Source organism: Homo sapiens, chromosome 4 (genome assembly GCF_000001405.40).
Source record: "Homo sapiens chromosome 4, GRCh38.p14 Primary Assembly".
NCBI classification, from domain to species: Eukaryota; Metazoa; Chordata; class Mammalia; order Primates; family Hominidae; genus Homo; species Homo sapiens.
Genome location: NC_000004.12, coordinates 113,278,586 through 113,305,884, shown reverse-complemented (window position 1 = coordinate 113,305,884; position 27,299 = coordinate 113,278,586). Strand labels below are relative to the sequence as shown.

General features: G+C 36.2%; 1 protein-coding gene across 71 annotated transcripts in view, besides 4 other annotated features; it reads right to left on the bottom strand.

Moving 5' to 3' along the window:
- The window catches only part of ANK2 (ankyrin 2), a 678,115-nt gene that overhangs the window by 77,852 nt on the left and 572,964 nt on the right, over positions 1-27,299 (bottom strand). For 64 of the 71 annotated variants that reach the window (NM_001386186.2, NM_001386148.2, NM_001354269.3 and 61 more), the window contains 6 exons: positions 23,013-23,210; positions 18,182-18,280; positions 17,399-17,497; positions 13,371-13,469; positions 12,347-12,445; positions 3,046-3,118 (listed from right to left, as the gene is read on the bottom strand). In NM_001386186.2, coding sequence (NP_001373115.1) covers positions 3,046-3,118; positions 12,347-12,445; positions 13,371-13,469; positions 17,399-17,497; positions 18,182-18,280; positions 23,013-23,210 — 667 coding nt within the window. Of the gene's footprint in view, positions 1-1,607; positions 1,662-3,045; positions 3,119-12,346; positions 12,446-12,585; positions 12,899-13,370; positions 13,470-17,398; positions 17,498-18,181; positions 18,281-23,012; positions 23,211-27,299 lie in introns of those variants that run through there. The other 7 variants (NM_001354279.2, NM_001354282.2, NM_001354280.2 and 4 more) reach the window with 2 other exon arrangements.
- Positions 12,451-12,970: an enhancer, noted in NCBI's record as "OCT4-NANOG-H3K27ac-H3K4me1 hESC enhancer chr4:114214071-114214590 (GRCh37/hg19 assembly coordinates)". NCBI's record gives its function as "activates a minimal SCP1, AML or CMV promoter by ChIP-STARR-seq in primed H9 embryonic stem cells {active_cell/tissue: H9 hESC(primed)}" and the evidence as "EXISTENCE:reporter gene assay evidence [ECO:0000049][PMID:30033119]".
- Positions 12,971-13,490: an enhancer, noted in NCBI's record as "OCT4-NANOG-H3K27ac-H3K4me1 hESC enhancer chr4:114213551-114214070 (GRCh37/hg19 assembly coordinates)". NCBI's record gives its function as "activates a minimal SCP1, AML or CMV promoter by ChIP-STARR-seq in primed H9 embryonic stem cells {active_cell/tissue: H9 hESC(primed)}" and the evidence as "EXISTENCE:reporter gene assay evidence [ECO:0000049][PMID:30033119]".
- Positions 13,181-13,350: an enhancer, noted in NCBI's record as "experimental_72144 CRE fragment used in MPRA reporter constructs". NCBI's record gives its function as "activates a minimal promoter by MPRAs in K562 erythroleukemia cells, with activity observed for the introgressed 4:114213776 variant allele {active_cell/tissue: K562}" and the evidence as "EXISTENCE:reporter gene assay evidence [ECO:0000049][PMID:34662402]".
- Positions 14,404-14,573: an enhancer, noted in NCBI's record as "experimental_72140 CRE fragment used in MPRA reporter constructs". NCBI's record gives its function as "activates a minimal promoter by MPRAs in K562 erythroleukemia cells, with activity observed for both the introgressed and non-introgressed 4:114212553 variant alleles {active_cell/tissue: K562}" and the evidence as "EXISTENCE:reporter gene assay evidence [ECO:0000049][PMID:34662402]".

Below are 27,299 nucleotides of genomic sequence, written 5' to 3'. Positions count from 1 at the left end.
ATTAAACATAGTGCCATTCTTAATGACAAGAGTTTGAATACTCTTTTTGGGTGTCAATACACTATTACTACTAATAAAACAATAGACTGTAGAGAAAACAGGGATTAGCTAATAATTTTCAAATACATGTGGCTGCATTGTGTCCACGTGGATGATAGCAGGTTTCATAAAAACATATTAACCTCACAAAACATTAAAGTGTTGGCATTGGCAATGTCAACCAGCTAATTTCCTTCACACTAATTTTTTCCATGAAAAAGTTACTTATCAATACTCAAATAGATCCTTTACATGAAAATTATTCAACTTGAATTTTCCTCGGGGAAAGAAATATCATTAAGTTTTGGCTATTTCTAAAAATAGACTTCTCTTGCCACAAAAGATAATCTTGGTCATTCACCAATATTCTTCACAAACCAAGAGTTCTTATCACCAGTAATATTTAATATATAACATTTTTAATAATGAAAGTACAGAATGTTATAACTTATCTCATTTAATGCAATAGGCAGATCTGAGAGGCTATTTTTTTTTTTTTTTTTTTTGAGACGGAGTCTCGCTCTGTCGCCCAGGCTGGAGTGCAGTGGCGGGATCTCGGCTCACTGCAAGCTCCGCCTCCCGGGTTCACGCCATTCTCCTGCCTCAGCCTCCCAAGTAGCTGGGACTACAGGCGCCCGCCACTACGCCCGGCTAATTTTTTGTATTTTTAGTAGAGACGGGGTTTCACCGTTTTAGCCGGGATGGTCTCGATCTCCTGACCTCGTGATCCGCCCGCCTCGGCCTCCCAAAGTGCTGGGATTACAGGCGTGAGCCACCGCGCCCGGCCGAGGCTATTTTTTATAAATTTCGTTTATAACTCAATATTAAATACTTTAAATGTATTAACTAATGGAATTCTCCAGCAATTATTTTGTAAATAAAGGGCTATTTTTAAATTAAATAATCACTATTCAATTTATCTGATTTATAAATTTAAATTTTCATGTAATAGAGTTGCTTAAAGTGGTACCACGTGTACTTTGGAAACCTCTTACTAGATAAAATATCTTACATTACTCATTTTTCCTTATATGCAAAATTCACCCTAAATAATTTTTAAATGTTACTTTATTTCTATTCTTAGCTATATTAAAAATCACATAACTATTAATATATTTTTAATCACACCTAAAATATATCATCAACCAAGGGAGTGATATAAACTGCATTAATTTCAAGTGGTCTAACTTAGTTATTGTCATGTTCACACTAGCTCAATGTCAACTAACAAAAGAATTACTTTTCTCTAAATTTATATTCTAAGAAAAGATAATAGTTGTGGAAAAATATTTATATAATGTTCATTAGATTATATAATTATGTTAGCAGTTCTCAATAATAGTTGCAAAATCATTAACAGTACAAACAATTCATGACTTTAGGCTTCTAAGTTAATAAAATCCACACACTCAAATGCACACATATACAATTCCACTCATATTACACATGCTATTTCAAAAGAAACAGATTAGTATTAGGCACACAGATTTAAACAAGTTGTTCTATCCAGTTAAGAAAAATCAAAAGCAAAGAAAAGCTTTCACTCCAAAAATATCCTCTAAGGGTACCTGAATCACTAAGTGCCTCCCCATCAATAAAGTGGTCACCAAACTGTTTAAGAGCTGTTCAACATACAAGTAAAGATAATAAAGATGATCCCACAAAACAAAATATGATATGCATATAGGAATGCTGAGAACTAGTTGGCAAGTATTAAGATAGAACACAAAATTATACTAAATATTTGGAACTGCTGGCCTTGGGAATACCTTTGAATTTACTCAAAATACTACATTGATCCAACATTTGTTCATTCTTGTCATAAATTTTTATAAAAGCTGAGAAAACTCAATACATACTACCAATAGGTGATTCAACAAGTTGGTTCTAAATAAGGACATCTCAATGTAAAGTTTTATCTTATGATTTTATCTTAAAGAACCTAAAGAAACATCTTTAATATTTCTCTGTATAAAAGCAATGAGTATTAAACCTAGTGCCATTCTTAATAGCAATAATTTTTCAAACATACATTTTCATGTACATATATGGTGGTAATTTTTCAATCATGTTCATTGGACCAATAGCTGAACTATTGAAACTTGGTTGCGTGATTTTTTTTCTTTCTTTTTTCTATCTTCTCATAAAGAAATGCTTGCAAATTTTATATGCTGCTTTCATGATTTTTTAGTAGCACATTTTTTTATCCAAGTGGATTATTACATGGAAGTTCAAAATACAAAATGAAGAAAAGTCAGCTACTCTAGTTGAAGTAGAGATAGGGAGCCGGACACCCTCCAGCTGGCCCATCTCCAGCTCTAGCCCAATGTCACACACCCACTCCAGGCAGTCCCCACTGCTCCTTTTTGGAAAGCAGGCTTCCCAGGACTTAGGAAGCCATTGCCTGAGATCATTTTTCATCAACTCTAAAATTATAGGGGGGATATTTTCTGACTTAAATAATACATTCTTCTGTGGAATTTATACTACTTCCTGCTGTACTATTTTTAAACCTTCTATAAGGCTCTTCTCCTCTGGGCTTAAAATATATTCTGTACATATGAACCAACCAGAATACAGAGATTTCTCAATTGAAGAACACTCATTGATGGAGTATACTTTAAAGTCTTTACTTAAAGTCATTTGAATAAAAAAAGATTTTTTAACATAATTCAAACATATTTTAATAACAATTGTGTTATCATATAGCTATTTTAACACATGGCCAGTTTCCAGTTTTTCCCCTTTTCCAGTCATATTATTTAATAGCCATTAATTTTAATGCTAGGAAAAAGAAATAATACCAGAAACAAATATACTAATCAGAACTGCCCCCGGCCCCCGCTGCCATGGCAAAAGTAAATGTATTGAAACAAAGGTGAAAAAGTGACTTTAAATGTTAAGATTCTGTCATCCACATAACCAGCTTGGTCTCTGAAAAAAAGGGTAATTTGCCCTTGTGTAAGAACATGACAGGTGTCATAGAAGATTGAATAGAAGTCTTACCCTCTTCATCAGAAACATCAAGAACCTCAGTCATCGTCTCAGGTACATTTAGTTTGTGTTTTTCTGTAATAGTCTGGAAAAACAAAAATCATTAATGTTCAAGTTGAAACCAAAAGTAAACAAAAGATGAAAAGCATCACATAGGAGGCCACACTCAACAGCAGCAGCAAGCCATCGAGCCATGACTACGGGATCTTTCCCGCGTGTATATTTTGGAAATTTGCTTTCATGAAAACTCATTTGTTCTTTTTGAAGATAAATGATCATTTATGCCAGAGAAGTTGTACAAGAGACAGTTCATTATTTTGAGTTCTCATTTGAAAAATAAATTCTTTAGCAATGGTATTATTAATAATAATTAGTTGTATTGAGAAAGCAGATTGATGTTTTCAAAGCTTCCCTAAAATGAACTAAGTGACGTTTCCAGAAAAGCTTTAAAAAGAAACAATGAACATATGCAATGTATTAAAAGCAAAGCCATTAGAAAAGAAGCTGTAAATAATGTGAAAGATATAAACTATTTGGGCAGAAAATATGACACATCTCTTTTGGGATCAGAGGATCAAATCATCTCTTTAATATTTCACTGGGCTACAGTTCTGGTTTGTTGCTTATTTGCCTTATGCAATAGCTCTCCAAGGTTGTCAATCCACTGCCTTTCATTCCTCATGTACAGTGTAAGGTTAAGAGACAAGGATCTGAGTCTAGCTGCCTGGGTTAAAATTCTAATTTCATCACTTATTACCTATAAGGCCCTAGCAAGTCCCCTAACCTACATGTGCCTCAATTTCCTCAACCATAAGTAAAGGATAGAAAAGTACTTCATAAAATGGTTAGGAAGATTAAATGATGTAATATATGCAAGAGCTCTAAAAATAGTGCTTGGCATATGTTGGCACTCCATAAATATTAGCTACCATAATTTATTATGATTATTGTAACTCAGTATTAAATGCATCTTAAAAGTGAAGAGCCTCTGGACTTTTTATAATCATTCTTGCACTCAAGGAAAATTCTGAATGTCTACTGCATGCTTGGCACTATTTTAGACACAAGACATACCAGTGATTTTTCAGAATAATAGAAATAAGCCAGACATAGAGACAAATACTGCATAATCTCACTTATATGTGGAATCTAAAAAACTCACAGAAGCACAGAATAGACACCTGGTGGTGACCAGGTGTTGGAGAAGGAAGGGGGAGGAGCATTTGGGAGATGTTGGTTAAAAGATACAAAATTTTAGTTGGACAGGAGAAATAAATTCAAGAGATTTATTGTAAAACATGGAGACTACAGTTAATAACAATGTAGTATATACTTGAAAATTGCTGAGAGTAGATTTTAAGTGCGCTCATCACAAAAAAAAGGATATGTATGTGGAGGTAATAGATATGTTAATAAGCTTGATTTAGCCATTTCACAATGTGTGTGTGTGTGTGTGTGTGTGTGTGTGTGTGTATCAAAACATCATGTTGTATACCATAAATATGTACAATTTTTATTTGCCAACTAAAATAAATAAATAAAAGATATGTGTACCCCAAAAACATAAAAATTCAAATCTCATTATTTTGAACATCACCTAAAGACTATTGAGTGTCAAATTCAAACCTTCAGTTTCTGTAGTGAAAATACATTAAGGGCATCAATTGACACTGTCATGGAAACTTTAAAAAAAAATGAATCCCTTGACATAAGAGTAACATCTTCAACTAAAACCACCAAAGTACAAAAAATAGGTTGTCTAGTTTTTTAGGCTTTGACCTAGATGTTAGATAATTGTTTGAAAGGCTATAATGAACCTATCATCAATTATTTTCTTTCCAAAAGCAGTAGATAACTTCAAATATATTTACAAAGAAATTCAACTGGTTAATCAAATTCCACTGAGCAACTCTGACTATATACATATATAAGATCTGTGTGATCATAATGTGATACTGCATGAGCTTTTTGGTGGCTCTTTGTTTTCTTCAGAAAACTGATTAAACTGGCTCAGAAGAGCCCTGTGATTCAGTAAAGAGCGAGAGGTAGCAAGGCCTCATCTCTCATTCCATGCTACGATCGTGTTGAGCTGCCTTTATTTTGACAGGTCATGTTCTCTCATGCCTCTGAGTTTTTCCACATATTCTCTCATTTACCAGAAATCTTCTTTCCCCTCTTCTCTTGGCTCAGGTTAGATGTGACTTTCTTGGAGAAACATTCCCTGATCCTCCCCAGTGAATGTCTTTGTTTAACTGTGTTTATCTGCTGCTATGTACTCCTAGAGCATCGTGTGTGCTGTGTCATACACTACGCACTGTGTGTGCCCTCTCTGCTTATCTGCCCACATGAGAGTGTGAGTCATTTAAGAGGAAGATTGTTTCCACAGCACCTGAAACATAGCAGGAGCTTTTCAAATATATATCAAAAACTTGTTAATACTAAATTATGCAAAAAATAAATTTAAAATCCATATCATGATGAAATGGATTGTCTTTGGGTGGAATTTTAGTTAAAAGACAGGAAGAAACAGAGAAAGTAAAGAAAGTCTCCTGCTACTCACATGAAGGCACAGTTGGAGGCAAGGGTTGTAAATTCAGCTTGCCTGCATATTTCTAGTGATATTTAAATAGTTTTATTCAGAGTCTTATTCACTGAAAGCAAACTAAATGCTGCAGGAAAAACAAAAGTATCCATCCAAAAATCTGGAGAATAGTAGTGGTTGATAAATATTTGTTGAATGAACAAACTCAAAAAGACTATTATAATATACAATTTGATTATTATTTTAATATTATAAATTTTAATTTAGAAATTTAACACCAATAAATTATAGCCCATATTCTGTATTAGTGGTATTCAACTATAGCTACATATTACAATTATTAGAAACATTTAAAAAATATTGTTGCTTGGGTCCCATCATAGACCAATTAAATCAAAATCCATAGGGATCGGGCCCAGCTATAATGGGGACCAGGGTATTTTTTAAAGGTTCCTTAGGTGGGTTTATTGCACAGCTCAATTTGAGATTCATTTTCCTGTATTAGGGAAAGTATATAAATTGCAGGAAAATGATTTGCATTTAAAATATAACATAGAGACTACCCTACTATGAAATCTTATTCAACTTTTTTTTTTTTTTTTTTGAGATGTCGTTTCACTCTTGTTGCCCAGGCTGGAGTGCAATGGCACGATCTCAGCTCACTGCAACCTCCGCCTTCCAGGTTCAAGCCATTCTCCTGCCTCAGCCTCCCAAATAGCTGGGATTACAGGTGTGCACCAGCACGCCTGGCTCATTTGTGTATTTGTAGTAGAGATGGGGCTTCACCATGTTGGCCTGGCTGGTCTCGAACACTTGACGTCAGGTGATCCACCTACCTCGGCCTCCCAAAGTGCTGGTATTACAGATGTGAGCTACCGCGGCTGACCTTTATTCAACTTTTTGGGAATATTTAAAAATGTGAAAGGATGTCTACTATATTAGACTGTATTAGAAAGTTAATTTTTGCAGAAATGTTTTAGAGTATTTGTCCTTCGTAGTAAACATTTCAATAAGGAGATGATTCTCTGTTTGAAAATAATTACTGGAGATACTTTTTAAATGATTAAGTTTCATTGCCTGATAGTCTCAGTTTCTATTTTCAGGTGCTGATAATGGGACTATATTTTCTTTGTACTTGTAAGAGTGGAAACAATAATTTACTTCAGTTTGGTCACTGAATGCTATCAGAATTATCAGCAAATATATGTGGCAACAGAAAAAGTAATACACTGTGATCATATTGGTCATGGATATTTTTCTGTATAGATATTAAAAATGGCCTCTATATGCAATGTGGTAAATATAATATCATTTATACATGAGAAGGTATTTGACCTTTAGAAGGCCATCATTAAATATTTGTTGAATGGATGGAAAATAAGTAGTCCTACATATGTATAATGTAACAAGAAATGAATACATATTTTCCTTTTAAACAAAATGTCCTTTGAAAACTTGATTATTTAAACATAAACATGGTTTTATGCAACTACCTCTGAATCGTACATAGAGAACAAGGCTATAGTGAAATGATCATGGACATCTCTTTCTGCTACAGAATCCAAGATACTATGGTCAAGATTAGAAACTACTTTAAAAGTTAAAATGAGTAGGACACTAAGTACAAGTTTAATGGGATATAATTAAATCGGATAATATGGCAAAAGAAATGGTATATAATAGATGGAAGAGAGATTTAATAATGAATTTATATTGTTAATCACGATATGAAAAATGTAGAAAATAAAGTAGGAGTTCTTAACATTCTGCTTTACAAATAGTAGTCAATATCTGATTTGTTCTATGCAAAAGAAACTGTGTGTTTAACTGATCTTCACTTAGCCAACCCTCACTCAGCCAATCCTCCTGGTCACCAATTGCATTTATATCACATAATCCCTAAGCCACCACAGCATACTTAGTGATCTTGGTTATGATGCCACCTTTTAAGGCCCTCATCCATAGCTTCCATCAGTGGAGTTCAAGCTAAACTTGTTTTTGTTTCTAAACATACTTATACCAATCATACATATTAATATAACTTTAATAACTAAATTAAATATTATGTAAATACTGTTTTTTTTCTAGAAAAACTAGGGTAGATGTTTTTTGAAGTCCTAACAAAGGTGAGTCACTGAAAGTAATACCCAATTAGATGTAATTGAGACAATTATAACAGGTTGAAAAAACATGTCAAAAGTCTAAAAAGATTCTGCACTAAGTATGTCTTTTTAAGAAAATACACAGCAGGGGCTCAGGACTGTAATCCTAGCATTTTGGGAGGCCAAGGCAGGTGGATCGTTTGAGACGAGCCTGGACAACGTGGCAAAACCCCGTCTCTACAAAACAATACAAAAATTAGCCAGGAGTGGTGGCACCTGCCCACCTACTACTCCCGAGTAGTCCCTGTTACTCTGGAAGCTAAGATGGGAGGATCACCTGAGCTGCAGTGAACCGTGATAGTACCACTACACTTCAGCCTGGGCAACAGCGTGAGATCCTGTCTCAAAAAAAAAGAAAGAAAAGGAAAGTACACAGAACATACAAATATCATATAAATATACATATTATAGCATATATATACATAATATAATAGGTATTGATATTGTTTGTGCAAGAATGGCAATTTAATTTCTAATCGATGGACCTATATTTAAAGAAAAGATCTTGGCTCTACCTCAAAAGGTGTCAAATGACTTTACAAGTATTTATTGTATTGCCATTTTTATGGCTCCTATTTTTAAAATTTTTAAATTGTTGTGGATACACAGTTGTACATACTTACGGGGTACAAGTGATATTTTGATATAAACATAAGTATAATGATCAAATCAGGGTAATTGGGATATCCATCACCTCAAACATTTATCATTTCTTTTTAAAGTCCTAACAAAGGTGAGTCACTGAAAGTAATACCCAATTAGATGTAATTGAGACAATTATAACAGGTTGAAAAAACATGTCAAAAGTTTAAAAAGATTCTGCACTAAGTATGTCTTTTTAAGAAAATACACAGCGGGGGCTCAGGCCTGTAATCCTATCATTTTGGGAGGCCAAAATGCCTCCCCAGTGGATTTGGGGACATTCCAAATCCACTTCTCTAGTTATGTTGAAATATACATTTTAGTTAACTATAGTTAGCCTGCTGTGCTGCCTAACACTAGATCTTACTCCTTCTATCTGACTGTATTTTTGTACCCATTAGACAACTCCTCTATCCCCTCCTCCCCTGATTTTCATGTTAACTGACTTATGGCATCAGGTAAGATTTAGGACTTAGAATATTCACATTTTCTGAGTTTACTGAACTATTCCCTAATGTTCAAGTAATAATATAAGATAATATTTTTATTTTACTAATTTATTCAGTAATTTATGGTCTGCATACCAATTATATGCAACATAAAACACAATCACTTTAAGATTATACAAATAATAGAAATAATTGATGATGGTTGATCAATTAGCGGAAGGATGAGTCATATGTCACAGTTCTTCCAAGCTGCATTAGTGGATTGGGCTTGTTGGCTTCTGTCACCAGAAATGTGTCTCTACCATTCTGATATCCATTCTGGCAAACATGTAGTGATTGTAATCCCAGGAGAATGCTAAAATGTCTCATATTCCCTGCTGTATCTCACAAAGTAAAGTTAGAAAAGCAAAGGTTAAGGAAACAAACTACGATTCCAAAATGTCTCAGAAGTTTCTACAGAAGTGGTTTTTCCTTTACAAACTACTGCCTTATTCTGGTCTCTACACAACGACTTTATTCATACTTTGGGGTAAAGAACTCAAAAGAAAGAATAGGAAAGGAAACTTTCTTTGATCAAAAGGACTACATGGTTGCTCATATGGCACATCATACAAATCCAATTCATGTTAAATTAGTATGTCAGTTGTGCAGGTGTAATGCAACTGTTGCATTTGAGCGGTAATAACATTAACTTTTATTAATTTTACTTAACTATTAAGTTGTCTATTGTGCTATCATCAGTAGTTTCAAATTATTTTTGTGACTGTAGATTTTAGAAAATGATATTGAATATCACTCTCCCACAAAAATCAATAAAGAGCACTATTTAAGTGGTTTTTCTTTTTGTTGAAAATTAGGTGAAAACAGTTTCTTCACAAAATTCCTATTAAGCTATTTTCAGCAAAACCAAAGTCAGTTATATCAGAAAGGTTAAGAACATGGGCTTTAAAACCCGACAACCTAAATCTGAAGCTTAGATCTTCCCTCAATGCCTTACATATTTTTAAACTTAAATATTACTGTTTTTAATATCATTAACAATACATTATGTGGAAAAAATATTATGTGGGAAAAGAATGATTGAAAATCTCTTTCCAAAGAGAGGAAGTTTATTGTAAGAAGACTCCCAGAATAGATGAGAATAAGTCTATTCTTCCAATCCTTACCCCAAAATTCCATTTCACAAAACAATTAAGCTCACAATTATAAGAGAAACCAGTTCAAAGAGCAGCAGACAGTGAAGAGAGACCAGCATCGAAACATGTAACCATTAAAACTATCCATTTAGGTAACAGAGATACTTGTTTAGCTCATGTGGACAATGATTTCTTAGTGTCCTAACTGAAAGGAGAAATGCTGTTATGTTTTCTATTTTTATTGGCTTTTCACCTAGAAACTTGAATTCTAAGTATAGCGACTTTTGATGGAGCAATGCTCAGCTACAGAATGTAGAGAATAATAGTTACCAGAAAAGAAAAAAAGCTCACAGAGGGGGTTCTAAAAGGAATTTTCATCCCATCTTTTCCAGAGATAGATGTGGTAGAGAGATGATCTTGTATCTGATTTCTGACAAGGACACTGAGACAGCAATTACAGTATTTAGAGACAAACCAGAGAATGCTTATTTGCTCTTCTTTTTAAATATAGATCTTTGTTTGAAGTCATTCACCTGAGTAATATCTACAAACCTGAGATCTCTTTGAAACCAGACATATAAGTTCCATAGTTTTGTTGAGTAAAATATGAATGTATTTTCTTACCAAGCCTGAGTCTCATTCTCTACTCTCATGACACTGAAGTTGCTGGTGGGGAGGAGTAATGTTTTCACCACTGATAATTCTTCAGCACTTAGCACAGAACTTAGCACATATTTTATATCCAATAAATAATGAAGGAATAAATCAGTTAATGAAATGAATGGAAGCAAAGTAGGTACAAGATAGCAAGAGATACAAGCTTGCCATCTAGTGATAACTTGGTAAAATAAACATACATTATTCCCAGAGCAGGGAAAAGGTAAAAAGTTGAGAGAAAACATGACTTCTAATGGCAGAACAGGTGTGCTTGGCCAATCTTGCCACTAAAGGCTTCACGTATTGTGATGTACACCTTGTTTTAAAGATATCAAATGAAGTGGCATATATGTGTAGGCCCTTAATATGAAGATTTTCCTGGTATAAGAAATCATAAAATAAGAAAAAGCCATTAAATATAGTGACCTACAAGTATGGTGCTAGGCAGTGACAAGACCTGTTTTTCTCCTATATAATTTATCAAAGCTATACCTTAAATCTTTAAAAATATTGTGGTGAACTGGCTGAAGGTTTTAAGATTCTGCTTCAGAAAACAAGCAGTGCTATTCTTTCCCATCTAAATTCAGTTTGTGTCTTGCAGCTCATTAATAAATCATAGGCCACTCTGCTTAAAACTGCACGTTAAACCAACTGTATTCCATCACTTCAATATATGTCAACAGGAACTTACTGTCAGCCTGAAGAACAAAATTCCTTTCTTTTTCCTCACATCTGTCAAAAACACCAAGCATTTCAAACTCTATATGCATTTTTAGTTTGGAGCATTTACTAGAACCTCCTTCAGAATTCTTTATTTGTTCATTTGTGGTTTTATTGTCTTTGAAGAGCTTCTCATGTCGTACTGTTCTACTTTTCTACTTTACGAAGCTAAATTAAAGAGCCATTCTTTAATCCATGCTTAAAGTAGAAAGTTAGTGAGTGAATAAATGCAAATATAATAGCACTTCCACTTTCAGGTAGGAGCCCCCTCTCAGGAGGCTCCTTTAAACTTTGCTCCCACTGAATGGTACAGGAGCATTAGGACTCAATATTGTCATGGTCTTTACTCTTCTAGAGTTTCTCTAGCAAAGGCCAGTGATAATCACTGATTTGTCATGAAGAGTCAGCAGTTGTATTCAAAACAGAGAAAATAAGAAATTTTAAAATATACTTTTTCACAACACAGAAACAATTTACCTAGAAAGCACAAGGAATTCTCTTTTTGAATTAAAAAATAATAATCAGAAATAAGATGCAAAGTAAGGATGAATTGCTCTCACTGGGAGTCCATTTGATCCAGTCATGAGCACAGTGTTGGGAGGAGCAGGGTCTTTCCAGAGGCTGGCCTGACCTCCTGGCTAAGGTAAGTTTGCAGTGGAGTGTGTTACCGCTTTGCCAGCGGTAGGTGTCACACACAACTAAAGGAAAGGGCACAGAAGCCAGAAAATAAGAAGCCAGTCACAGAAAAAGGAATTAAATATTATAAAACTATATTCACACATTTTTATAGGGATAGATGCTGAGTAAAGGAAGCCGAAGCCCTGTATTCCTTGTGTGAATCCATTTACTTCTGCATACGCCTATGTATGTGCTACAATACTTTCAACAAAAAGAAGTTCAAAACTAAAAGCTCCAAACATCTTGTGAGTGAAAAAGTACTGTACATGTATTTAGTTTGAAAACGAAGAATAACAGGGCTGAAGCTAGTCAGTCACTCATACTCACTGTGGTGGTGGTGGTGACCTCCTCAGTCACAACCTTCAGGGTGTCGACCACGGAGATGTAGCCCAGACGCTTAGCAATCGCCAAGGCAGTGTTGCCATTCTGAAGAGAGAGTGAAAGAGAGAGAGTGAGAAATAAGAGAGAGGACTGCGATGTGAGCCAATGAGCTCACCCGCTGCTCTGCATCAGCCAGCATTTCCTTCCAAAACAAGGCACAGCTTAGGAAAATCACTAGTTTTTACCATTACGTCTAAATCTGTCTTTGTAACTTCTTCAGACTATAGGCCAGGTCACCATGGTAACACAACAAGCTTGCATCTGCTTGCTCTTTTTAATAAGAAGCACTTGACGCTTTAACCCTAAGGTTGTCAAATATCTTCTACAAATACTGTATTGCACTTAAGAAAGTGCCTCATGACGTCTCCAAAACCTGTTAGCAAGTACCAGGTACACTTATCCCTCATCAGAAGTCAGGCCATCTGCTGCAGGTAAGATGTTACCATCGGGAACACGGTAACATATTTAGCTACAGCTGTGCAGAAGCTCACTGTGCAGCAAAATAACACAGGCAAGCAATTCGGGCTGCATCCAACCCAGGCCACTCGGGATCCCAGTTCGTTTAATTGCACCGCTTAGTTTACATTTCAATGGCTCCACAACTCAATGAGCTTTGTTTAAGCTAGCAGCTCCCTTACTGTGCTCCCTTAAGAAGGCGAGGGGGGGTCAATTTGTGCTCACATCTGAGAGCCAGCTGTAAGCAGAGCACGTTCCAGCAGCCCAAGCGGAGGGCCCCCGTCTCCAGAGAGAGCCAAAGAGTCAGGCTGACTGCTTTCCCTCCCAGGGCAAGCACTTCTGGGGAAGTCACACTGACTTCTGGAAAGCCTGCCCAAAAATCTGGGGCTTTCCAGAGTCCAGGGGGCTTATTTAAAGAGGAGGAATCTGACCTCACTCAGCTCAGACAAGAAGCCACCAGGGCAAGAGAGGAAAAAGAAGAAAGCGTGGTGAGGGGCAGTGGCGTCTGCCTTACCGCAGTGGTGGCGTTGGGCTTGGCCCCATGCTGGAGCAGGACGTTGATGATGTGCGTGTGACCCTGCTGAGCGGCCTGGTGCAAAGGCGTGTAGCCGTTCTGTGGAGGACAGTGGTGGCGGGCCCAGCACCCGATTGGCAGAGGGAGAGGAAAATTAGGTTAGCCTTCATTTTGAATAGTCTTATTTACAACAAAACCATCACAGATGCTTTATTTGGAGCCCAAGATGATCAGCAACCCATTTCTCAGCAGCAAACACTCCCTCACACCTTATGGTCTGCTAAGCAAAGAGAAGAGACCAGCTGATGAAACAAGATTAACAGACTCCAAATGATAACTATTATTACATTTTAACCAGTTAGCATTAAAAAGGAGGGCTCCCTTAAGAAGGTGAAGGGGGTGGGTGCAGTCGACTTCTGCTCACATCTGAGCTGAGAAGAGAGATTTAAAATAAGAAAACAGCATTATCTGTGATTTCTTCCCTGGGAAACAAGAGTTAAAATTGTTTTTAACTGAAGGTTGCAGAGGGTCATATAAACCACTGCTTGTTCATCATGACTCTCCTAATAATTAACCTTTGGCTTAGCTTTAGGGATTCTAAATCATTGAAAGTAAATCTAAATCTTATATTCCTTTCCAAGAACAGCTTTTCTCCCCATTTCAGACGTGATGAAACTGAAAATAAGAAAGTTAAGTAATTTCTCCACAATCGGGCGAGGTTCAGATCCTGTGCAGAAGACTATGACAGCCAATGGCTACCAGACAATGGCTATTATTTATTAAAATCCACCTGCTTCACTTCTCATAAAATTTTATCTATATGTTTCAGACCCAGTTGTCCTGGGCTCTAAGTTCTGAGTGGCCCTTTCATACTCTAAGCTTTTAAGTGTACATACCCCTTTCATCCAATGTCACTGCTGCCCTGTGAGCAACATACATATTTGCTTGTTCTGTCTACTATAGATGTGGGTGCTACATGATTTCTTTATAAATTCACTGCACTCTGTCTGCCCATAGGAACATGCCCACATGTATCAGGGTTACCTAAGTGTCTCTAAGTGTGGCACATCCTCAACTCTGTCATGTTGGAAGTCTTACATCTCCTTATAAATCCCTACAATGGGATGACCCCAGGAAACCTGAAAATATAAATCAATTACAGGGACTCCAAGAAGCCTTTGGCTATTACAGGGACTCTGCGGTCAAATCAGATAATCCATGGACATTTGAGGAGAATACACTAAGCGATACTTCTTTTTGTAAAAATTCTTCCTTTTTGTTGTGTTTACATCCATTAAATCCATTGAATTTAGTTCATCTTTTCAGTATCAGCCAAGTTAATTCATTCAACAAGCATTTACTAATCACACACTATGTGCTAAATAACTTAGCATGTAAATTAATAAAATAATATATCACTATAATATATAAACAAACCTAAATTATCTATAAATATATGTAAATTAATAATGCCAAAGCAACGTTCTTGCCCTCAATAGATCAGTGGACATTGTGGCCACAAAAATGTTCCCCAGCCCTGATTTAATCTAACCTTTACCTGAAATCCCCAGTGAGGATATTTGCCAGGGAAGTCTGGAGCAATTCAGAAGTGTTTACGTAAACATTTGGTTGATTCTTAATCCACTGTCATAGGCCCATCTGGCTAGGAGCTCTAGACCCAGTGCTACCAATCATTTGCAAACCCTTAATCCTCTCTAAGCCCCAGTTTCCTCATTTGAAAAATGGAAATGGCCAAGATTTCAAGTTTGATGAAGGATAAGATAAGTTGTTCATGAATATGTTTTATTTTCTAGCTTTCAAAATTTTAGCAATCACTTTGGTGGTGTTGTTTTCATTCTGTTTGTTTGTTTGTTTGTTTTTCTAATTGAAGAGCTCTATAATCTTCACAGTGTCTTTAATAAATACAATTTTTTTCATGTGCTGTTCTAAACCCTCTTCACAAATTAAATATATGATTAACCAGGTCTGGTTCGTCCCAAGTTGCTATAACAGGGTTTCATTCTAATTTTAAGCAACAAATAGTCTTATAAAACAAGTTAATTTTGCCAAATCTTTTATACCACATCATGAGAGTTTACAGAGTAAAGTTAATGTATATGTTTACATTTTTAAAGCAATGAATCCATTTTTAGTAACTACAGCTACACATAAGATATGAGGAAGAAAACCTAATTCCTTTCCCAAAGATGTCATTTTCATGTGAAAAAAAATCTGAAGAGTTTATTAAAAGACTGTCCTTTGAGGTTTGTATCTATTTCCCTAAAGATATATGGTTCCAAATGTAACACTGCAAGCAACTTAGTTCACTTAAAAAAAAAAAAACAAAAAAAACTGAAATGATAAAATGAGATTTTTCTTTCAATCAAATCTTCATTCAGTGCAGGTCAAACTCCAGGGAGACCATTGATATTCTCTAGACAATATAGTGTTTGCCTACTAAATATTATAACCATTTCAACAATGAAACATTTAAAAATATGATAAGCATTTTCAAGCCCTGCCAACATCTCACTGTACTGTTGCATTTGTTCATTTCAAGAGAATACTTGGATTCCAACCAAAATGTCTTTCCTGGAGTGCTTATATGGGAGCTGGCTCATCAGAAAAGGCTTTAGGAGCTAATGCCTGAGAATTCATATTAGAGGCTTTAAATAAGTCTCAAAGTTCAATTTCATGAGAACTTAAGAACTGGTCAGAAACTAGGCAGCAAGCTATTCTTGCTAGAGTAAGATTATAAGTTTAAATCTTAAATGTTAATAGTATTATTTATAGTTTAAAAATAAGTTTATTTTAAATTAGCTATAAACATGCTTATGTATAGAAATGATTTTGTTTCTGCTTCTAAGAGAATATAAAGACTGACTTATAAAACTTCTGTATATTTTTAATTTATAGAATCTTGAATGATGGCTTTGAAAAGTCCTGAATGTGCTCACACTAATTTACTTGAGCCCATTCAAATAGCTGCAGTCAGAAATTTCTGGGCCAGGCTTGGTGGCTCACACTTGTAATCCCAGCACTTTGGTTGGCCAAGGTGGGAGAATTTCGCTTGAGCCCAGGAGTTCGAGACCAGCCTAGGCAACACAGTGAAACCTCATCTCTACAAAAACTTTTAAAAATTAGCCGGGCATGGTGTCATGCACCTATAGTCCTAGCCAGTCCTGAGGCAAGAGAATGACTTGAGCCCAGGTTCTAGACTGCAGTGAGCTCTGATCGTGCCATTGCTTTCCAGCCTGGGCAACAGAGTAAGACCCTGTCTTAAAAAAAAAAAAAAAAAAGAAAAAGAAATTTCTGATATATGAACTTAAATAAATGTGCAAACAAATATTTCTTTGGATCAAAGAACTTGGAGCTGCAAGTTATAGTATGCATAATAGCCACAGTTACAATATGAACTTCTATTCACCTTGAACCACATTGAGTGCACGAAGTAAAGTGTTATGTTCCAACCTTGCTTTGCTGAATAGGACCTTTCAAATGCCACTGGGGAAACTGCTGGGATCAAGTCAGCTCTGCATTATCCTTGAGAACTTCCAGCCCAGGCCTTATACATTATTGCCTCACTGAGCATGTCCATGTGATGTTCTGAATGTGACAGAGTTCATTAAAAATGAAAGGCACGCAGTCTAGGCTGACTGTCTGTATTTCTTCATGAGAGGAGAAGGGGTCAGGGGAGGGGGGCCAAGCCACTGAAACAATGTAAAGGAAATCTGCCAGAACATCAAGATGTTCTAGCCGGCATCTATTGTATCCTGCAGTAAGTTGTTAAATCGATGTCAGCTACTTTAACTTTATAATAGAAGTAGTTCGAAGCTAACCTTCATGGATGTCAAAGTTATTAGAATGAAAATTCTCAAATAATTACAAAACTACATCACCTCGTCAAAATCACTTTAGAACTAAAAAGGAAGAAAAAAATACACTTGTAGCTTTGGTAAACTAGTGAAGCATCCAGATGGCTGAACCTTTTTGCTTATAGGAATTGAAAATGACCACAAGTACTTTACCTTGGTTTTTGCGTTAACATTTGCTCCCTGCTTCAGAAGAAAGTTGACCATTTTCACATTTCCATAGTGACAGGCCACAATTAAAGGTGTGTAACCAAGCTGTAAATAATAATAAAAAGTTAAAAATAGATAAAGTAGAAACTTTACTACTCTAGTGGTTAATACCCCAGAGGAGAAGGACTGGGTAGAGTATCAGTTATTATAGGATTCCATTTGACTAAAGATATTATTTAGCAGATTATATATGTGCCCCTGACCACAGGGAACTTCATATCAGCAAGAGAGATCAGATGTGGGTGACAAAATCTGCAAAGAACTAAGAGAGAGGCATAAATAATATCTGAAAACAGCAAAGACAGAATGACTCTGATAGGAGATGCAGGAAACATGTAGCTACAGCAGGCTTAAAGAATGGGTAAGAATTTTATGGCATAGAGAGGGAAAATCCATTTCCAGACCAAGGGCATGGAGATGAGCAAATAGAAGAGGAACGCAGCAAGTCATGTGAACTAGCTAAAGCAGTAAGAGAGAGGATAGACTTAAGGCTGCAAAATTGGAGTCTTCCTGCAAAGGGTCCTGACCTCATGCTATCCACTGGACTTGATTCTAGCAAAAAATGGGGAGCCACCATAGATTTGTGCATAGGAGAGGGTTATGATTAGTTTATATTTCAGAATGGACTCTTGAGGAGGGAAGACCCTGGACATGGGGTGACCCGAATGGGGGCTACTGGGAATCATCCCAGCCAGAACCTGTCACAATACTGAGAGTGATTTGCTTTACCTTTGTATGAGCATCCTGATCAGCTCCATGCTTGGTGAGAATATCAGCAACATTCACTTTATCTTCCTGGGCTGCAAGGTGTAAGGATGTGAGTCCACTCTACAGAAAGAATGGAACCAAAGGGATACAGTTGAAGAAGAAAATACATTGCATCATCTATAATATTATGAAAAAATATTGAAAATATTGAAAATATCCTGGAAAACTCATAGCCTCTTCCCAGAAACTATATCTTCTGATATTCAAGGCAAACTCTCTAAATTAATGGTGTTTCCTCTAAGACATGTCCTCTAAGTCAATCAACACATCAGGCAAATTACATTTTCTATTTTCTATAATGGGTTCTTATATTATGATGTGAGACTTTAAAATAGCACAGCCAATAAGCTTTCAAATGGCATGTATTTCAAATCCATCTGGATGTCCCGCTGTATCAACTTATTTATTTAAATAGCTGATCAACCAACTATTACACCTATTTTATAAGCATAATAATCATCTATATTTTATCAACAAAATATCACATCAGTGTAAAAAATGGACAGTTACAGGAAATGAGTTCAGAAAAACTTTCTCCAGCACCCAAAGAGGGTATACTTTTCAGGAGGTTCCTCTAAACATTACCTTAAAGTAACCTCATTATTTATACAGCACCATCAACTGCTCAGCTTTATGCAACATGTTTGGTATATATACATCAAGTAATTATTTGAATATCCAATTAAGGTACAGTTATGAATTAATAATAAAAAAAGAAAGGCATGGAGAAAAGATGGGGGAAAGTGGCTTATTCAGCCAATGTCACACTCTGGTAGCCTTACATGTTTACGGGTGTTTTCTTGAGTATGTTTCATATGTCATGAAGTGTTCATATTCTAGGCACTTGAATACAGCAGTGAACAAAAGTTTCTGTCTTTATGGAGCTTACATTCTAGCCTACAGTATATTTATACTGTATATTTCTCTCCCCTCACTATTGTTCAAATGCCTAGTATATTTATGCTCTTCCTGGACATCCTGCAGCTATAGACTGAGGTGGCTACCTGGGCTCTGAGTCAGCACCTCTTCCCCAGTTCACATCTGATTAAAATTGACCAGCCCTGTTGACCACAACTTTTCAGGCCCACTCTCCTGCATTAGCACTTAGGCTGAGAAAGCTAAGCCATGTTCTTCAAAATTCATGATCTCCAGCCATGGTGCTACTTCTGGAAATCAAAAAGGACACTGACCTTATTTCAAAAATGTAAGTGAAACCTAGAGAGAGAAAACCATTCTACAACGTGAGAGGAGGCTTTTTCCTTGTGGGCCTGGAGCTTTTTAATCCTGAGAGCTCTGGGTGAGCTCAACTTTGAGTTTCGTAAAACACAGGGTGAGATAGAAGGTGTATCCTTTTCTATTAAAATTTTCTTCACTTCTAAACAAATATTATTTAATCCTAATGTATAAAAAATGTGAATATTAGGATAAAACAAGATTCTTTCTTAATTTTCTCCTTACTAAAATAACAAACAGAATATTTCTCTTTACAGAGATAGTCTGTTTAAAAATGTTATTGAAGTGATCATCACATGAAGTGATCATCAAATCTCAAAGACATTTTTGATGACTTTTAAATATGTGTGCTTTTTTCTGCTCTATTTGCAGAATGGATTTTCTGCAATGCAAGATTACAAACTAACAACCAGTATGAAAATCTCTGCAGTTTATTGTGGTAAACTTGCATATCCAAATCAAAGGATGTAAACTGCAGTGAATATAGGTTTTTGTCCACAGTTGCTGTCTCATAACTCCCATAGCCGTTATTACAGTCTTTTGTTATAACGTTGTGCGTTTTAGGCCTCAGGGCCAGGCCTCAGGAAACAAAATATCTCCCACCTTCCCCCGGCCTCCTTTCACTTTCCCTAAGGCTAGGCTCTAATCTTCCCTCCCAGCATTTGTGGATCATAAGACCCTCCTGAGAGAGACAGTCCCATCCTATATCCTGGGGGAATGAATGCTGACATCATGAAGCTTCCATAAATTCCAGAGGACAGGGCTCGGGGAGCTTCTGGATAGCTGAACACTTGGAGCTTCCTTGTGGAGGGTGGTGCACCCAGGAAGGGCATGGAAGCTGTGTGCCTTCCCTCATACCTTGCCCTATGTGTCTCCTCATCTTCATCCTTTGTAATAGCCTTTATAAGAAACTGTAAGCACTGTGAATGTAAGTGTTTCTGTGAGCTCTGTGAGCCACTCCAGTGAATTAATGGAACTCAAAGGGAGTGTCCTGGGAACCCCAACTTGAAGCCAGTAGGTCAGAAGTTCAGAGGCCCAGACTTGTGATTGGTGTCTGTGCAGAGGGCAGTCTTGGGGACTGAGCCCTCAACTGAAGGGATCTAACACTCTCTCCAGATAGACAGTGTTAGAACTGAATTGGAGGACACCAGCTGGTGTGTGCTGCTTGGTATGTGGGGAAAACCTCTCCGCATTTGGTCACAGAAGTCTTCTGTGTTGATGATTGTTGTGTGGTAGGTGTGAGAATAGAGGAAAAACACTGTTTGAAAGGTTTCTGGAAAAAAAAAAAAAACTTTTCTAATAAATCAAGAAAATAGAAAGTGTTGAAGTTCTTTTCAAAAAAAGTAATTTATTTCCTAAGACACACTGGTGGACCCAACGACGGATCTTTTTTGGTTTTATTTTATGATAGATGGTGTTTGGACAATGATTATAATATCACTTCTATATTATAGTTCCTAATGTGAAATAATCATTTGGAGACTATGAAATTATTGAGTTGGCCTTAAAAAGAAAAGAATATATGTTTTCTTCAAAAGCAATGGGAAATTATTTTATCAGTTTTGCTGCTTATCTGAGATATTTTTATAGTTGCATTATCTTATAATTCTAACCAAAAGGCAAGGTTATATGTTTTATGTAAATTTTGTATATTGTATTATTATTCAGATATATCTGTGTAAACTTACTAAAGTTTTACTCTAGTGATAAACATACTATGTGTTTAGGACACCACTCACATGTAATACTGAAATCATTGTTATAAAGATAACAAAATTACTTTGTGATTCAAAATTGAATGTTTTTCTTCATTGCTGAGTGTGCAACTAAAAAATACTCCTTAAATGTTTGCTAACTGATAAAACGCTGTCAAAGAAAGTAATGTATTTAGAAGAATACCGTAAAGGAGGACATAGTGAACTGATTTCAGATATGTACTTGTCATTTTTATAAATTAAAAATAACACCATCAGAAGCACTGTAAGATCAGTTTCATGAACTATCTGGAATTTTAATCCTACTCAAAATACTGCTGAATTGTTTATGGATTTCTTTGGCTGATTTTCAAATGAAGATTTATTTGTTATTAATAGAGTAAACACATGCCCCCTTCATACACTAATACTAAATAAAATATTCTATGCTTCATGATCACATTTTCTCCAACAGGGTAAATGACCACCTGAATGACATGACGTCAACAGTCACAAGGACGCCCATGCCCTAGACTGTAATGATTGTCCATCTGATACACGGAATTTCACTATAAGGCTTTATCGTGTTCGTTCTTATAAAAATGCAACTATCCTTTGGAAGACTAACCCTATAATTTGCTCTCATCGTGCTTTAAAAAAGGATTTGTGGGGACTTTTTATAAAGGCCAGAGAAGTACGTAAGGGCAGGGGATGTACAGGAACACTTCTGAGTGACAAGAAAATAGACTAGGACTGCAGAAGTATTCAAGGCAATCTGCCTGTTTCATAGCTCTTCCTGAAGGATGCATGCTACATAACCTATTTACAAATGTCATTAAGACCAACTTATCACTGATACTTTAAAAGTACCAACTAACAATGAAATGTAGAAAACATAGAGTATTTGTATATTTATGGAAGGAGCTAAGAAACGTAATTTTCACTAAGCTCATATAATGTATTACAAAAAGCATCAAGACATCAAATGACAGACCAACTTAATAAATACAGTTTCCAATTCTGTGTTTCTCAGCAGCTGGCTATAGCAGCATATATATAAGTGTAAGATAGAAAGTTAGATAGATGGATCTATAGGTCTTTATGTAGATGGATGGATAGATGTATCAAAAGACATATACTTGTAAAAATATATATTTTTATATTTGAATATTTTTCCATTATATCTTTGACTGCCATTGTATTATAATTAATGCGGAGGTCTATAGAGGCCAGTCCCTGGAGAAAGGCTAAAATGACTGATGTGCTTTATTAAAAAAAAATGATTTTCTCACCACCACCACCAAACCTCTCAAGCTAGGCCTACGTTGATGGAAAAAAATCTGTATTTTATTGAGTTTCCTCTCTCCTATCCATAGGTGCCTCAGATGCCCAGCAGGACTAAAGAATGCCTTGGGTGGTGAACATCGGCCTGCCAGTTTAGAGGCAGTTGTTTAAGCTAAACCCCAGATGGAAGCATTCTTTCTCTCTCTATACATATGAAATTTAGAATGAGGAGCAGCAGACACTGGAGCAATTATAGTGATGTTAACATTGGGAGCTACAGGGTAGCCTCTTTAGACACACAGAGAAAAGCAAGGAAAGCGGGGATGTAGAGATGAATGAAACTGACTTGCATAGAAAAGTCAAGAAGCCAAAGTGTTGCCATACAGAGAGTCTCTCTCCCTTGCTTCCTTATGGTTTTCTAATCTCTCATAAGGCTTGACTCCCTTCCTGTCCTTGGGGTCTGTAAGATATCCCTGTTTCTTTTTAATACATTGCTCCTTTTTGTTCCAAACTGTCTGCGATTGGTTCCTGTTTACATGCATCCAAAACACTCTTGATTGATGCAAGAAAGGACAGAATACCTTAGTTGACATGTGGATATTGGCTCCCTTATCCAGAAGCAAGGTAACCATATCTGTGTGCCCCTCCTGCGAGGCCAGATGGAGTGGAGTTACTCCTTGCTTTGTCACAATGTTTGTCTCTGCTCCATAGTTCAGGAGTGTGGAAGCTATCTGCATTTGATTCTTCTTGGCAGCAATATGTAACGGAGTATAGCCATTCTAAAAAGAACAAAAATAAAACACATGCATATAGAGTAAGATTAACAATTGCTCTAATACGTATCTCTAAAGGAAATAAAAATCTCTAATCAATAGAAGAGTTAAAAGTGAGTTTACAGTTAATCCAAACTCTTACTCATCACGTTTCCATTCAACAATAACCGAATCTCTACAATAAAAGTCACAAGGCACCCCATTCTACTGTAAGACAGATATAGACATCAAAGCTCCAGAACTAAAAATTCTCTCCTTATAATATTGCTTCTCTCCTGAAAAGCAACATAGGATAAGCCAGGTTCCTCTTCTACATGACCATCCTTTAAATACTGGGGATGATTTTCATATCCACCTTTAGTTTTCTGTTTTCCAGGTTAATTTTCTCCATTCCTTCAACCATTCCTGATGGAAGTGCCATTTCTAGATCTCTCCCTATAAGGATGACCTGTTCTGAGCTGATTCTAGTTTGTCAATATTGCTCTTGAATTGTGTGTGCTATCTGGAACCAAGGCTACACTTCACATATGGTTATAACATAAAGAATCAAATGGAATTATTTCTATTATCTTACTATAATACTCCAACTAATATGCTTCTGTTTGGATTGTACTTTAAACTGGTTCAACAAATATTACTGAGTGCCTAGAATATGCCGAGCAGTGTGCTAGGTGTGGGAATACAATGGTGAACATGACATGATCCCTGTCTTTAATGGGTTGCATTCTAATTTAAAATATATTCAACAACAAAATTAGCTTATATGAATCTTGTGGTCCATTCAAATCCTAGATCTCCCCTTCTTTATAACCTGCTGCTTTGAAAGTACAAATATGAGGCTACTTATTTCGGGCGGGAGTTTGTGGAGAGGGACAGGAAAACTCATACTCTGCTTACAAGAACAAAACTCTATACCCCATGTTTAGTTAAAAGAAAAAAATGTGGAACAACTGTAAGTCTGCAACATATATTGTTTTATTTCCTTTTCTTTATCAAATCCGGTAGAATTTTCCATTCAAAATGTGTGATAGAAATTAAAAACAGTGGCTTTTCCCTTCAGTGACATGCTGAAGGGAAAGAGAGCATAATGACCAAGTGCTTCTTGTGAGATTACCATGAGATGTTTTATTTATTTATTTGTTGAGACAAGGTATGGCTCCATCACCAAGACTGGAGCGCAGTGGTGCCATCTCAGTCACTGCAACCTCCACCTCCTGGGCTCAAGTGATCCTCCCACCTCAGCATCCTAAGTACCGAGGACTCCAGGCACACACCACCATGACTGGCTAATTTTTTTGTATTTTTGGTAGAGATGGGGTTTCACCATGTTGCCCAGGCTGGTCTCAAACTCATGAGCTCAAGCGATCTGCCCACCTTGGCCCCCTAAAGTGCTGGGATTACAGGTTTGAGCCTGTAATCAAACTTGAGAGGTATTTTTAGGTCATGCTATTTCCTTAAAGCTAACTGCAAAGTGTACCAAAAAATAAAAAAGTGTTTTGAGAATTTAAATGTCTTTATGAGCTATCATCAAATCTTGATCCTCACACAACCCTACATTATCTACTCTGTCCCCATTTCTCCAAGCAAGAATAAGTATCTTTCATTTTTGACAAACAATGTTTCTCCTGAAGCAACTGAAGGAAATTCAGCTTGGAAGCCTTTTCAGGGTCTGATCAGAGGTCCCAGATGCTTCAAAATACTGTATTTGTGTCCATAGACTCTATTGAAAAAAAGGACACACAGATTTTTGTGGACCAAATAAGTTTAGTCAACTTCTTTTTGCTACAATGTGTTTCTTTAGTCTTAGTTACCCCACTGCCTACAGCATGGGCTCTACTAAGGTTAGGTACAGGGATATTTTAGCAAAACAACATAAGCGATCATCAAAGAAGGTGTCAATTCTGGCAATGGAGGAGGTTTGCCTGGTAGATACTCAACCTACAAGATCTGAAAAGCCCTCTTACTCCACAAAGAGGAAACATTTTTGGACTCAAATAATTGCAGCACTCCCAATAAAGACTAAGAGAAGGTTCTGGACTCTGGTGGAAAGAAGCAAAGTTCTCGTGGCCAAAGGACCGTGTGTATTAAGGAGAGGAGACATTATAATGAGCAGAAAGAGAGTCTAAAGTGGAGACTACAGTGGGGATCTTACCATCTGGAGCCCTCTAGGAGTGGCCCCAAAGATGAAGGGCTCATGTTCATTGACAGGCTGGGGCAGATAAGTGAAAGACACTAGAGAGGCATTCCCAGAATACCCATCCTACTGTGGACTCTGGAGTAGACAAATGCTTTATGTCATCTTCTGAACTCGGTACGTGCATGCCTAAGATTAAGGACCATACAAGGTAGAGGCTAGAAATCAAGGCTATGTTTATCTCCTTAGGAAAACTATACACATTATTTTATAATCTAGGTCTTCTCTTACAAGTAGATTGAGAGTCCCTTGTGGAAAGAGAACACACGTTTTACAATTTTACCTCCCATTGAGTACCTATAATCCTTTCTTTGCACATTGTAAGAGTTCAACGAAAGTACTCATGAGTACTAATGAAGTCTTTTGTATCTATGTTGAGAATGGTCAGCCTGGAAAGCTAATGAAAAAAAAAATGCTGGTATGTTAAGTGAGCAGGTATATTTTTATTCCATAGTTGCTCAATCTTCATTCTTTCATCCAAATTTATTGGGAACTCACATATGTTATTAAACACCTCATAGATATGCAAATGAATATGATATGAACACTCCTCTAGTAGCTTATAATCTAGTGTAAAGAAAGACATAAAATATGTGCTGAATTGATGAGGTTGTAGAAAAAAGAGGAGTAAGAACAGTGTGGATAATTATGAACATTTGGCACCCTCTTTTGACAGTTCAAGTACTTTATTATAAACTGTTTATTGGCATCAAAAAGATATAAATATATGTAGATGTATATGTATGTATGTGTACAAAGTTATATATTTATGATATATATAATATATTTATATATAAAATATATATTATACAGAACATATTTTATGTATATATCCTATTTTTTATTTATAATATGTATAAAATTTAAATAGGCATATGAGTATATATGTATATATTTGTATAACAGAAGTGGAATAAATCTCCCTCTATTGCTTTGGGGCACAAAGGACCTAGTGGTTAAGAGCACCGGCTCTAAAGTCAGTCTGCCTGAGGTCAAACACAGGTACAAGCTCTAACACTTATTATTCATATGACTTTGGAAAATTAACCTACTTAAATCTCACCTTCTCATCTGCAAAACGGAGATCATTAGAATACCAGTCTCATGGGGTTATTATGAGATATTGCCTGTAAAGTGCTCGGCATAGTGTTTGGCAAATAAATGGTGGCAGTTTTTTTATTATATTGTCTAATATAGCATAAATATTTTCCCATTACAATCAATATTTTTTAAATAAACCCTGATGTGTTCTCAAAATAGCTGTGCTTAATTAATGAACGAAAGACGCAATGAGGACTTTATGCATTATACGACATTCATATATATTTTCAGTGTAATAAGGGGCCAACTAGAATGGTGGGAAATGCCCTGTCCGTAAGTACAAGTCTTAGTTGGAGCTGTTTCGGAATTTGGTGCTAGATATACACCAAAAAGGCATCCTCCCACCACCTCTGAATCTAGGGACTTAGAGGGATCCATGCTACAGTTAACACAGGTAAAACATTAAAAAAAAAGACAAAGAAACAAATAGAAGTTTGAAGTCGGAAAGAATGAGAGTATAAAAGGACATTTTCATCATAGCATTTGGTTTATAGGAGAGAAGAGAAAATATGTTAATGACTTTATTTCTCAGTTCTCAAAATTCAGACTTCATTCTCTAACACACAGAATGTTAGCAATAAGATTCATCTCTACTGGTTTATAGGCACATCCCCTTAATATTTGCTGACTCTTAAAAAATCTTAAAAAAGATTTTCAAGACGCAACTGGCAGAAATACAAGGGAAAAAAAAGGGTGTCAATACCAAAAGCTACTATCGCTAGGACTAGTCGCAGTTATACTATACCATGTGTTTAAAAGACAATTCTCATGTGTTTTCAGGCGATAGTTACACCCTATGC